This window comes from Homo sapiens, chromosome 5, assembly GCF_000001405.40.
Source record: "Homo sapiens chromosome 5, GRCh38.p14 Primary Assembly".
Lineage (NCBI taxonomy): Eukaryota > Metazoa > Chordata > Mammalia > Primates > Hominidae > Homo > Homo sapiens.
In genome coordinates, this window is record NC_000005.10 from 173,281,942 (window position 1) to 173,295,119 (window position 13,178).

At 48.2% G+C, this 13,178-nt stretch overlaps 2 long non-coding RNA genes and 1 pseudogene across 2 annotated transcripts in view, besides 3 other annotated features; 1 reads left to right on the plus strand and 2 right to left on the minus strand.

The window, feature by feature from the left end:
- The window catches only part of LOC105377731 (uncharacterized), a 29,006-nt gene that overhangs the window by 12,709 nt on the left and 3,119 nt on the right, over positions 1–13,178 (plus strand). The window lies entirely within an intron of this gene.
- Positions 1,940–2,079: a silencer, noted in NCBI's record as "silent region_16637". NCBI's record gives its function as "represses an Ori minimal core promoter by ATAC-STARR-seq in GM12878 lymphoblastoid cells {active_cell/tissue: GM12878}" and the evidence as "EXISTENCE:reporter gene assay evidence [ECO:0000049][PMID:35858748]".
- Positions 10,528–10,777: an enhancer, noted in NCBI's record as "active region_23652". NCBI's record gives its function as "activates an Ori minimal core promoter by ATAC-STARR-seq in GM12878 lymphoblastoid cells {active_cell/tissue: GM12878}" and the evidence as "EXISTENCE:reporter gene assay evidence [ECO:0000049][PMID:35858748]".
- Positions 10,576–10,678, minus strand: RNA5SP200 (RNA, 5S ribosomal pseudogene 200; annotated as a pseudogene).
- LOC124901136 (uncharacterized) lies at positions 11,186–12,813 on the minus strand. The gene is made up of 2 exons (XR_007059055.1): positions 12,487–12,813; positions 11,186–12,204 (listed from the first exon to the last, which is right to left on the minus strand). It is a non-coding gene; the product is annotated as an uncharacterized LOC124901136 (long non-coding RNA).
- Positions 11,905–12,074: an enhancer, noted in NCBI's record as "active region_23653". NCBI's record gives its function as "activates an Ori minimal core promoter by ATAC-STARR-seq in GM12878 lymphoblastoid cells {active_cell/tissue: GM12878}" and the evidence as "EXISTENCE:reporter gene assay evidence [ECO:0000049][PMID:35858748]".

Here is a 13,178-nt window from a genome sequence, read left to right on the forward strand (position 1 = left end):
TGTCACTTTGAGGGTTAGTAAATTTCCTACCTTTGCTGTCAGCTGTGTGAAGTGGCATGCCTTTGCTTTATCTCTAGAATTGTTCTTTAAGTGTCGCGAGTAGTTTGGTTCTGTTAGTCTAGGCTGGGAGAAGAGAGGAGAGGGGAGCGCCCCTGGGTAGGTTGAAATCCAAAGCTCAATGTTGCCTTCAAGTGAGAACATGTAGGAACTGCAGGGTCGGGAGATGGGTCTCTGCCTTGGATGGGGCACTTGAGTTTGGGTGTAGGATTGAGATCTTTAGGAGACACTAATCTGGTTCAGAGATGGACCTGGGGCAATTAGATGACGATCACCAGATAGTTGACTTTCTCGATTCATTTTTTTTTTTTTTTTTTTTTTTACGGAGTTTCACTCTTGTTACCCAGGCTGGAGTGCAGTGGCTCAATCTTGGCTCACTGCAACCTCCGCCTTCCGGATTCAAGCAATTCTCCTGCCTCAGCCCCCCAAGTAGCTGGGACTACAGGCATGTGCCATCACACCTGGCTAATTTTTGTATTTTTGTAGTAGAGACAGGATTTCACCATCTTGGCCAGGCTGGTCTCGAACTCCTGACCTCAGATGATCTGCCCGCCTTGGCCTCCCAAAATGCTGGGATTACAGGTATGAGCCACCTCGCCTGGCTTCTCGATTCAGTTTTTATTCCATTCAGTTTTACGATTTCCTTACTAGAAGAAGAAGAGGAAGAAGAGGGAGAGGGAGAATGGAAAGAGCCACCAAGAATTAAAAACTGCTATTCGCCAGTCTTTTTGCTAGGTGGTTTACATACATCCATGCTAAATTTTATGATAATACTCTTATAACTACTGTTTTACAAATGAGAAAACTGAGACTCGCGAGGTCAAGTTATTTGCCCAAAGTCACCCAGCTGTCAGATGCAGGAACCAGGTCCAAATAAAGTCTGTTGGGTTCTAAGTCCTGACCATTTTGCTATAGCAGGCTGATCTCCCGATGAAACTGTCAAGGACGATGCAGATCCCAGCCCAGGTTGAATTGGCAAATCTTCAAGTCAAGTCTGTGGCTTCGGTGACTCCATGGCCCTGCTATTCTCACCGGAGCTCTGCCTCTCGGGCCCCACTGGAAGCCCTCTATGTCAGCGGGCCAGGGCGCTTTACAAGCACGCAGTACCTCATGGACCCATCCTGGTTCCTCAAGGCAGCCCTGGACAGTTAAATGGCCTGGGCCCCCTGTGGCTCTGGGCGTCCTGGACCTGAGGCTCTAAGGCCGAACCTGCTCCCTGCCCTAGAGAGGGAGGGTCACCAAGCAGTCAAGTGCTGCCAGCCAGCCCTCCTGCCCCCAGGGCTAAGGAGGCAGGGCCAGCAGCAACCCCTAAACTGTCTCCCTCCTCCTTTAAAAACATTAGGTTAAAAAACCAAGAACGTGTAAGAAAGGAAAAGCAAACAAAAAATCTTCCCAATCCCAATTTCCAGATAATTCCTATTAAGACTAGAGGGAGAGAGGGAGATAAGAGAGGGAGAGAGGGGAAGGGGGGGGGGAGAGAGAGACAGAGAGAGAGAGAGAGAGAGAGAGAGAGAGAATACATTCCCACGGCAAAACAGTCATTCAAACAGCACAGAAAGGCAGAAAATAAAAAGTAAACTGCTGGGTTTCCTTCAAGAATTTTCTTGTGCGTGGGCCAATAGACAAGTAATGCATCTAGTTACTTGCACACATTTAGAATCCACAAAGGGGTGGCACTCCAGGCGCGTCCAGCACGTTGCTTTTCTCATTTGCTGCTGCTCCGGGATCTTTGGCAGCAGCAAAACCCCATTCTTTTAAGGGCTGCGCAGAGTTGTGCCGCCCATGCCCGGCTGGTTTGAAGGTGCCCCATGGGCGGGCGCGGACGTGTGGTTGCTCCAGTGTTTCCTAGAGCACTCTCAGCCACGCCCCCGCCACCCCAGCGGCGCTGCAGGAACCAGCCCGCCGCCAGCGCGAAGGTGAGACCGGGCGCCACGTGCTTACCCGGCGGCCTCCGGAACCAGCCCTGCCCGCCGGCTGTGCGCGGATGCCTGCAGACGCCGAGCTGCTGCCCCCGTGTGGCCTGGTGCGGGGGCTCCTCCTGCTCACTGGGGGCGCGTCCCGGTAAACCAGAACCTCAGCCCATCAACTCACTCGTGGGGTTACTGAGGAGGAGAATCTTTGGTTCTCACCGTCATGGCTCACCCAGTGGCTGAATCCCGCTCGCACGTGCCGCATCCAGGCAGCTGTGGAAACTGGTTGAAACCAGGATGGTCAGCTGCTACCCTGTGTTTGGGGGACTATGTGACAGTGCCTGCTGTGTCCCTATTCTGGTGCTAAAAAGCAGGAGCTCTCTTATGCTCACATGGAAAGGCCTGTTGGAGTCAGATAAACTTGGCTCCACCACTTATATGCTGAGTCTGTTCATCCATCCATCCACCATCCATCTATTCGTTCACCCTCCCATCCATCCATTCATCCGTCCGTCCACCCTGTCATCCAACCACCTGTCCATCTATTCATCCACCACCCTTGCATATTTTCATCCACCCTCCTATCAATCCATCTATCCATCCATTCATTCATCAGTCCACCCATCCATGCATCCATCCATCCATCCACCCATCCCTTCATCCATCCAACCATCCACCCATTCATCTACGCATCCATCCACTCACCCACCCATCATTCAACTATCCACCCAACCATCCATCCATTCATCAGTCCATCCATCCATCCATCCATCCCCTCATCCATCCAATCATCCACCCTTTCATCTATCCATCCATCCACTCACCCACCCATCATTCAACTATCCACCCAACCATCCATCCATTCATCAGTCCATCCATCCATCCATCCATCCATCCCCTCATCCATCCAATCATCCACCCTTTCATCTATCCATCCATCCACTCACCCACCCATCATTCAACTATCCACCCAACCATCCATTCATTCATCAGTCCATCCATCCATCCATCCACCCATCCCTTCATCCATCCAACCATCCACCCATTCATCTACGCATCCATCCACTCACCCACCCATCATTCAACTATCCACCCAACCATCCATCCATTCATCAGTCCACCCAACCATCCATCCATTCATCAGTCCATCCATCCATCCATCCATCCATCCCCTCATCCATCCAGTCATCCACCCTTTCATCTATCCATCCATCCACTCACCCACCCATCATTCAACTATCCATCCAACCATCCATTCATTCATCTGTCCATCCATCCATCCTTTCAGTCATTCAAAATTATTTGTTGAGTGTTGATATGGTTTGGCTGTGTCCCCACCCAAATCTCATCTTGAATTGTGTAGCTTCTGTAATTCCCACGTGTTGCAGGAGGGACCTGGTGGGAGATAACTGAATCATGGGGGTGGTTCCCCCATACTGTTCTCATGGTAGTGAATAAGTCTCACGAGATCTGATGATTTTATAAGCGGTTTCCCCTTTCACTTGGCTCTCATTCTCTCTTGTCTGCTGCCATATAAGATGTGACTTTTGCCTTCTGCCATGATCGTGAGGCCTCCCCAGCCAAGTGGAACTGTAAGTCCATTACACCTCTTTTTCTTTATAAATTATTTGGTCTTGGGTATGTCTTTATTAAAGTGTGAAAACAGACTAATACAAGTGTCAACTTGTGCACCTTGAGTGCTGAGCTCTATGACTTTGGATAAGTTACTTTACCTCTTTGAGCCTCAGTTTCCACATCTGCAAATTGAACATAATGACACCTAAATTTTGCAAAGTTGTTGGGAAGACTTAACAAAATAATGTAGGTGAAATACATGGTACATAGTAGATGCTCTGTAAATGGCATTTACAAGTTCTGAAATTTAGAAGACACCTAATCTTGTAGAAGCTTATGTATTAGTTAGGGAGGCCTGACGTAGGTACATAAAGCAATTGGAGAGTTTTAACGAGTATAAAATATTGCAAGACTGTTGTGCATGCATGTGTGTGCTTGCATACATGTGTGTACCAACTGCAGGCCTGTGGGCTGAAGCAGTGCAAAGTGAGGGGCTAGAGTGGACTTCTTCAAGAGGTGAATCTTTTTTTTTTTTTTTCTGGTAGAGACTGGGATCTTGCTATGCTGCCCAGGCTGATCTTGAACTCCTGGCCTCAAGTGATCCTCCCAATTTGGCTGCCCAAAGTGCTGGGATTATAGGTGTAAGTCACTGCGTGAGTCCCTAGTTAGTCTTTAAGAACCAGGAGTGCTAGAGAGAAGTGGAAAGGGTGTATTCGGACAGGGACTGCTCAAGCAAAAATATTTTCCTACACAATAGTGCTTGCATGTTCAGCCTATCAGCCATGGCATTAGCCCAAAACAAAACCAAACCAAACAAAACAAAAACTCACTAATGGTGGGCCCTGTCAAGACAAACTATTCCCTGAGGAAGGGAAGCAGCCAGCCTATTCTGAGATTAAAAAATCAACGAGAGGCACTTTAGCCACAGATTGCTAAATTCACTTAGCTCAGGAGTCCACTGTGAACCTAGACAGAATTTGCTAGATTGCTTGCAGGGGCGGGTTCAAAGATTCTGGTCCAGCCAACAATTATTAAATACTTGCTACTTGCCAATGATTATTAAAGATTGTGCTGGATTCCTCACATACCTATAAGGTGGAATTATTACACTCATTCTCAGAGGAAGAGACTGAGGGTCAGAGAGGATAAATGACCTGCCCAGGGCCACACAGACTGTAGATGTAGTCAGGGTTCCAACCGAGGTTTCCTCCTGATTCACCGGTTTTCTCCTATACCTCCTCTACCTTCTCTCTTATTCTGTCCTTAGCTTCAGGTAAGAACTACCTGAAGCTAATAATTGGGTCTTCCATGTTGTTGGCCCGAGCATCTGGGAACTCTCTCTTCCCTGTCAGGGAGGACATAAGTGGCCCTCTTCATCCAGAATGCTTGGAGGGAACTCAGGAAAACCCCAGGGGATCTCTCTCTCTTTAAACGGTAACCCTGACCACAAGCACTGACTTTTCAGTCTCAGAGTTTATTAAGAAAGCTATGCAGTACCCTACTGTGATCAGCCACAATATTTTGGTTACAACGATTTTTAAAATTAGTTTGTGATGCTTACCTTAGGCTTCTTTACTTTCCTTAGTAAATAAATGTTTTACAACTTAAAATAACTTGTATAAATCAAAGAAAATGAAAGGACTCATAAACTTCTACCATCCCAATATAGCACTTTTCTCTCTTAACAAGTCCTGGACAGAGGACTAGACAGTGATGACGCATCTGGGGCGCAGCCTGTACACCTGCGCTGGGGATCTCTCCCTCGGAGAGGATGGGGAGCGTGGGGGTGGGGCTACCAGGGCAGTAGGGAGGCGGGCTTGGTGCAGGTGGTTTCACGGGCAGGGGTTGAGAAGGAGGGAAGGGGCTGGGCAAAGCATAAAGGAGGTGGAGGGATGGTGAGTTCAGAGGGCAGGATTGGCCACCAAAATGAGTGAATAGTGCACTGAGGAAGTAGATTTCAGGTAAGGAGATGAGTTTAACAAATTCTGGATGAGGGCACCTGGAAGGCAACTTTGAGCATCTAGTTGATGCATCAGTGGGTGCAAAGGGGACGAGTTTTCTTTTCTCTCTTTCTTTTTTTTTTTTTTTTTTGAGACCGTCTCACTCACTCTGTTGCCCAGGCTGGAGAGCAGTGGTGTGATCTTGGCTCACTGCGACCTCCACCTCCCGGGTTCAAGCGATTCTCCTGCCTCAGCCTCTAAGTAGCTGGGATTACAGGCGTGCACACCACATCAGCTAATTTTTTATTTTCAGTAGAGACAAGGTTTCACCATGTTGGCCAGGCTGGTCTCGAACTCCTGACCTCAAGTGATCCACTGGCCTAGGTCTCCCAAAGTTCTGGCATTATAGGTGTGAGCCACTGCGCCCGGCCTGGGAATGGGTTTTCTTAAGGTCCTGGACCAAAAGGAAGATGTTAGGAGGCTCGCAGGGGATGAGGTCATGAGGTCTCCTCACACCTTGCTCAGGAAGCATTAATTGGTCTAGCCCCTCTGAGGGCAATTTGATAATATCAGTTCACACAAAACGCTCACTTCTCTGACTCAGTGTTTCCACCTCTAAGAATGAACATCCCCCAAAGTGCCCAAAGTTACAGGCACAGGGGTGCTCTCAGGGGCTCTGCCTGTGTTAGAAAAAAAAAAAATCGGAAGTAACGTCCACCTACAGGGGACTGGTTTAAAAACCAGTGAAACTCTGTGCCACCATTGAAACGAACACAGTCGCATATGTCAATTGCGTGGAGAAATGAGCAAGTCAAAAGGAGATGCAATGTGCACCTGACTCCAGTTTCATAAAAACATACTGCAAGTAATTCCTGTCTTTGTGCATGGAAATAATTACTTAGTTGATTGTGCATCAAATTATTTATGGGTACATAGGGGTTGTTCATTTTTAAATATTTTTAATATTTCTCTGATTTTAAAAGTTTGTGTCATGTACGGGCGTAAGTGGCTGGCCTGCGATGTCTACTGGTCAAAGCGGGCAGTCTCCCTCTTGGGAGGAAGCGTGGTGGCGAGGTCACCAGGGATGCGGGGTGCACAGGCTCCAGGCTGTGTGGGTGCAAAGGCGGGAGGTGGGGGAAGTAGCTGTGAGGTAGACCCTGGCTGCGTGGGGTGGGGTTGGGGCCACTTCCTTTCTACCTCTCCTGGCAGACCACAGGCTGAGGCTACCTGGGCGAGGTGGCCCCAACACATCTGCAAGGAGCTCTATAGCCCACCAAACTGTTCCTCCTGCGTCCTTTTCATCCAGGCCCCGAGCAATCCTGTGACACAGAAATTATTGTCATCTCTACTTTACAAATGAGAGAATGAGGGCCCAGACCAGGTGAGTGACTTGTCCAAAGTCACACAGCTCTTGTAGAGCCCAACTTTGAGCCCAGGTCCTTGGCTCATCCTCTGTCTCACTCTCTCTGCTTGGAAAGATGCCTGGAGAGTAAGGAGCTGAACTTTGACTCTGATGGGAACCCAGTGAGGCCAGAGGTCAGGCCAGTGATCCAGGAGCATCCTTCCATATCAGAGTTGCAAAGTGGCGGCCCACACAAGGTGCTTTGTTTGATCTGCTTGGTGTTTTTAAGAGCTTTGAGTGAGTTGGCAACATTTATTTTATTTTATTAAAAAAAATAGGAGGTCTCACTATGTTGCCCAGACTGGTCTCGAACTTCTGGGCTTAAGCAATCCTCCTGCCTCTGCCTCCCAAAGTGTTAAGATTACAGGTGTGAGCCACCTCACCCGGCCACCAACATTTAAAAATCAGATTTCATGCTAAATCCAGATGTCCAGCTTTTCTTAAAAATATTGGAGTCCTCATTCCTGTTAAGGCAACCAGCCGGCTACAGCAGCTGCTTCCTTTAGTCTGAGTGTGCTGTGTCCAGGGCACCGCAGTCCCCACCACGCCCTCTTGTTTCCCACCCCTGATCTGCGTCACCATCAAGCGAAGTAAGAGCTGTAGAGATGATAGGTAGGAGCATGGATTGTGGAGCCAGAAGGCCTGGATTTGAATTTTACCAACTGGCTGTGTGACCTTGGACAAGTTAGTTCACTGCCTTGGTTTACAAACCTGTGAAATGGGGACATTCATTTAATTTCGACTAATTAAACCAGTTTTTAACATTGAAAAATCAGGAGATCTCATAGAATGCCTTGAAAAATCAGAAAACCTGGTAATACAGGTCTCAGGGCTGATAGCACATATCTCATAGGGTTGTTTTAAGAGTCTTAAATGAATTTTCCTCCCTCCCCCCTTCCCTCCCTTCCTCCTTCCCTCTCTCCCTCCCTCCCACCCTCCCTATCTTACTTTCTCCTTCCCTTCCTTCCTTCCTTCCTTCCTTCCTTCCTTCCTTCCTTCCTTCCTTCCTTCCTTCCTTCCTTCCTTTCATCCCTTCCTTCCTTGACAGGTCTTGCTCTGTCACCAACGCTGGGGTGCAGTGGTTGGATCACTGTAGCTTCAACTTCCCCAGGCTCACTGTAGCCTCAACTGCCCAGGCTCAAACAATCCTCCTGCCTCAGTCTCCCAACTAGCTGGGACCACAGATGTTCACCACCACTCCTGGCTAATCTTAAAATTATTTGTAGAGACAGGGTCTTGCCATATTTCCCAGGCTGGTCTTGAACTCCTGGGCTCAAGTGATCCTCCTGCTTCGGCCTCCCAAACTGCTGGGACTATAGGTGTGAGCCACCACACCCAGCCTTATTATCATTGTTTTCTAGTTGTGGGTGTTTTCATTTTTGGACTGTTGCTCTCCCTTTACAGTGACAGATTTCTTTTTCTTCTAGAACTACGAATCTTTGTTTCCCTGTGATCAGACAGATAGAGTTTGCAGGGAGGGTTAGGTATGAACCCGTTGGAGATGTTGGATGAAGCAAGGCAAGTGGAGACGATTCCTCTGAGAACCTGGGCTGCTTTCTACCATGGCCACACTTTTGGGGGCTGCCACCCCTGGCTGGGAACCTGCCCTGACCTAGGGAGCCACTGAGCAGGGTGTCACTCAGCGTCCCCAACACCCTGGCCTGTCAGGCTGAGTCCAGTTCCTCCTGCTCAGCACCAGACACCTCCAGACCCTGGAGTCGGGAGGCAACTTAAACAAAGGCGTTTATCTCACCCGGGCTCTCCTGCTGCTCTGCTGGACTGCTCAGCCAGGCTCTGGACAGCATAAAAAGTCAGGCTCGGATGACAGAGGCAGAATTTAGAGCCCTTTTGGATGGCAGCTGGGATCTGAGCTGTCAACCGGAGGCGAGTCAACACACTCAGGCTCGCTGCAGCTCTGCACAGAGAGGGCAGGGCAGTGATGCTGTGCAGAACTCCCGTCTAGTCCGGCTTTTTTCTATTTATAATTTCCCTTGATAATAGAGCCCATTCATTGCCTCCGCAGGCCCCTAATTGCTCTGGAGCAGAGGGATGACAGCCTAATTATTAACTTCACAAAAATTGAAGTTGGGCTGTGTCAACAAAGTCCACTCACTGTCACCCAGATGCGACTCTTTGCCCTTCATGGTGGCAAAGGGCAGTTAGGAAAAAAAAAGAAAGAAAGAAAGAAAAAGGCTGGCGTGGTTCCAGCTTAAGCAGGCTTTTATTTTCTGGCCTAAAATTATTTTGGGGGAGGCTCTACTTAGAGGAAAGAGAATGCCTGTTTCCTCTTTGTTGTAAGCTGTGGTCAGCTGGTCACCATGCCCCCGACTGGAGGTGACGTTTTTGATCTTTGGAAATATGACCTGAGAAAATGTTAAAAGGGACCTTAGCGACTGTGTGGCTGTGATTAAAAACGGGGCCCAATTCAGCCTGCAGATATGTTTTATTTGGCTAGCAGAATATTTAGCAAACTTTTTTGTTTTTTAAATTGAGGGAAAACTCACATTACATAAAATTAACCACTTTAAAGGGTACAATTCAGTGACATTTAACACATTTCACAATGTTTTATGACTATCACCACTACCTAGTCTCAAAACATTTTTATCACCCCAGAAAAAACCTCTGTCCCCCTTAAGCACTTACTCCCCGTGTCCTTTCCTCCCAGACCCTGGCCACTGCCAATCTGCTTTTTGCCCTTTCTGGATAGTCCATCTAAATGGAATCATGCAAACTGTGGCCTTTTGTGATTGGCTTCTTTCACTTCCCATAAGGTTTGCAAGATTCTCCTGTATCATAGCATCCTTTCTCAAAGGCTGAAAAATGATAAAAAGCTTTTGAATTCATTTCTGTCAGCCTTATTGAAATATAATTTGCCGCCCACACAATTCACCTATTGAAATGTACAAGTCAAGGGTGCAATTCAGAGTTGTGCAACCATCACAATTAGTTTTTAACACTGAAAAATCAGGAGATTTCATAGAATGCCTTGAAAAATCAGAGGACCTCGTAGCACACAGCTGGCATCACAATGCTAAATGGGACTTGCACTCACAGGTCTCCTAGGGCCCCGCCACTTCCTGCTGTGCTGACCTGGCCACTGCGCTCATTTCCTAACTGCATAGCCCTGGAGGGATGTGAGCCCGGATTCTAGTCCAACCCCTGATTGGACAGATGGAGAAACTGAGACCTGGGTAGGCCACGCTGCTTATTCAAGGTCACACAGTGATATAGCTGTGAGTGGAATCCGCGTTTTGGACTCCCACTGCCCTGTGGCTCTTTCCACAGGTATTTAAGCTAATCATCAGCATTTTAATCTTAAGGGCAGTGTAACCCTGCGTTTATGACAGGCTTTGTGCTGAATTTGATTAATGTGCACTTTGAGGACATCTCCAGTTTCCTTTGGGAAAACACCCCAAGTAATCATGTGGTTTGGGCAGGGCAGGTCCTGACCCCCTTTCCTGCAGGAGTGCTAGTGACTTCCCAGGCCTGATGGTCAGGCTGCATTGCCTTAGTGTTTGGATTAGCATTGAGGAATTTTGTTGGAATTATTGGGAAAGAGAAGCTCTCTTCCTACTAAGGCCCTGAGAAGCTGAGATGTCAGCTGCAGCCTGGTGGGGGGCCATCTTGCCATTGTGTTGAAAGAGACTGCCTGAGATTTGAGTCAGTACAGAGGAAAGAAGAACCAAGAGACAGACAAAGCAGATTTCTCCCTTTCTCATACTAACCAGGCCTGACCCTGTTTAGCTCCTGAGATCAGGCAAGACCAGGCATGTCCAGGGCGGTGTGGCTGTAGACAGAGAAAGCAGATTTCTAATGGCACCATTTGAGCACACTGATGTAGCTGTGCCTGAAACCCTAATCTTTTTAGTTTTCAGTTTAATAACTCAATATATTCTATCTTTCCTTTTTTTTTTTTTTAACTGGATTGAGTTGGATTTCTGTCACTTGCATTAAACTGATCAATCCAAAGTATATAAAACACTAAATTCGGCCAGGCGCGGTGGCTCATGCCTGTGATCCCAGCACTTTGTGAGGCCAAGGCGGGCGAATCACCTGAGGTCAGGAGTTCGAGACCAGCCTGGCCAGCATAGTGAAACCCTGTCTCTACTAAAAATACAAAAATTAGCCAGGCGTGGTGGCAGGCGCCTGTAATCCCAGCTACTCGGGAGGCTGAGGCAGGAGAATCGCTTGAACCTGGGAGGCGGAGGTTGCAGTGAGCTGAGATCGAGCCATTGCACTCTAGCCTGGGTGAGAGTGAGACTCCATCTCAAAAAAACAAAACAAAACAATGCACTAAATTCACTCAAAGAATATTTATTGAATACTCACACTATACCAATGTTTTAAAATACATTATCTCATTTTACTCTTATAGTAAGACAGTGATGTGGGCAGCTATAATTATTTCTAGTTTACAGGGGACTCGATGGGAGGTTAGAGAGATCACTCACCCAAGGATACTCAGATTGTGAGTGGATGGCCTGGGGTTTCCACTTCAAGGCTGGCTCCTGTGCCCCAGCTCCCTGGGACATCACAGGAAATGCTTTTCAGTTTCCCAAGGACCGTAAACATATCTTTCCTCCCCATCCTCAAAGTATTCCAGACTTTGGAAGTGTGGAAAAGTTGGAATATATGGGTGTTGGAATACATTTAAAAAATCCCACCATTCACAAATAACCCACACCAATTTTAACTTAATTCTAGATTTTCAGTGCAGTTTTTTAATACATGAAAGGTTATATAAAAGGAATCAAATATCAGTATGTACAATGTCATATTCTGCATTCTCATTTAAAATGATGTCAAAAGAATGAGGAATAGTCTCTTTTAAACAATTAATTAATTAATCAATTTTTGTAAAGACAGGGGTTTCACTATGTTGTCCAGGCTAGTCTCAAACTTCTGGGCTCAAGTGATCCAGTGATCCTCTTGCCTTGGCCTCCCAAAGTGCTGGTATTACAGGCGTGAAGCCACCGCGTCCAGGACTGTCTTGAAGGTACTTTCGCCTGAGTTAGAGGGAAGAGGCACGCTGAGGCTTTGGGGTAGACTTAGAGCTGGCCCCGGCTTGTACAGGATGTGGCCCGGCAGCCACCAGGTGATGAAGGGAAGCCTTCCACGTCTATTTCCTCCACCGACAGAGCGGGCTGTAGTGGAGTTAGTGTAAGGGCGAGTCCCGTAGAGACCTGGCCGTCCGTGTGAAGAGGTCTTCAAACCCGTTTGGCGTGAGGATTCCCCTGCCTTTGCCCGCTTGATAAAAAACGCGCGGTGTTCTCTCTCCATGGCCGCCAGGTGGCGATGTGGAATAGGAAACGAATCGCTGCTCAGTGCGTGAAAGGCGAAATAAAGGGAGAGCAAAGCGGAGATTTTTAGAGAAAAGAAGGAAGCAAGCTGAAAATGCACAGCCACTAAGGGTGTGTGCACCATGCAGAGTGAGGAGGGAGGGCGAGAGCCCGGCAGAAGTAGACACACACTGGGGGAGAAAGATACAGCAGCAAGGAGCCAATGAACACAGTGTCATTAAAAACCTCCTATGAGAGGAGGTTTTCCTGTGAGTTCTGGGGCCACAGGGATCAGGTTTGGATGAGGTTCAGGCACTTACCGGTGATGCGATTGTGGCAAGTTGCTTTGCTTCTGAGCGTCAGGCCTCTTGTCTGTAGAATGGACCGTTCCTCGGGGCTGCAGGGCAGATGGGAAACGGAGAAAGGGGGCTCTTGTCCTACGGGCTCACTCTGCCTGCTGGGAAGGTGCAGTAAGCTCACGATTCTCCCTGTGCCCGTTGGCACTGTCATCTTCCTCCGAGCCCTCTCTGGGTGCCTTGTTCGTAGAAAGCTTCCAATACTGTATTGGTTGCATTGGATCAGTTGAGCGGGTGTACTCTACAGAACATGATCAGAGGTTTCGAGTTGTGAGCTAGACAGTAGCTACTACAGGCTATCAGATAAGGGGGCCAGGAGGGCTTCCTGGAGTAGGTGGGGCTTGAGCCGGTCTGAGAAATCAGGCGGTAACTGAGTAGGGAGATTAGGATCTCGGCATTCTAGGTTCAGGGGACAACGTGAACAAAGGCCTGGATGTAGGAAGGGATGTGGTGTGTGTACAGGATTTGCTCCTGGTGCTGGGTGAGTGAATCAGAGCAGTCTGGGGAGGAGGACGCTTCGTGGGAAGCCCTAAAATCCCAGCCAGAGTGCTCGAACTTGCCCTGGCAGATGTGGTCTTCTGGGTAGCCAAGTCCAGGATGCCTGTCCCTGGGGCAGCCACCAAATCAAGCCTGTCCTGGTTCCAAATGCTCCTGCC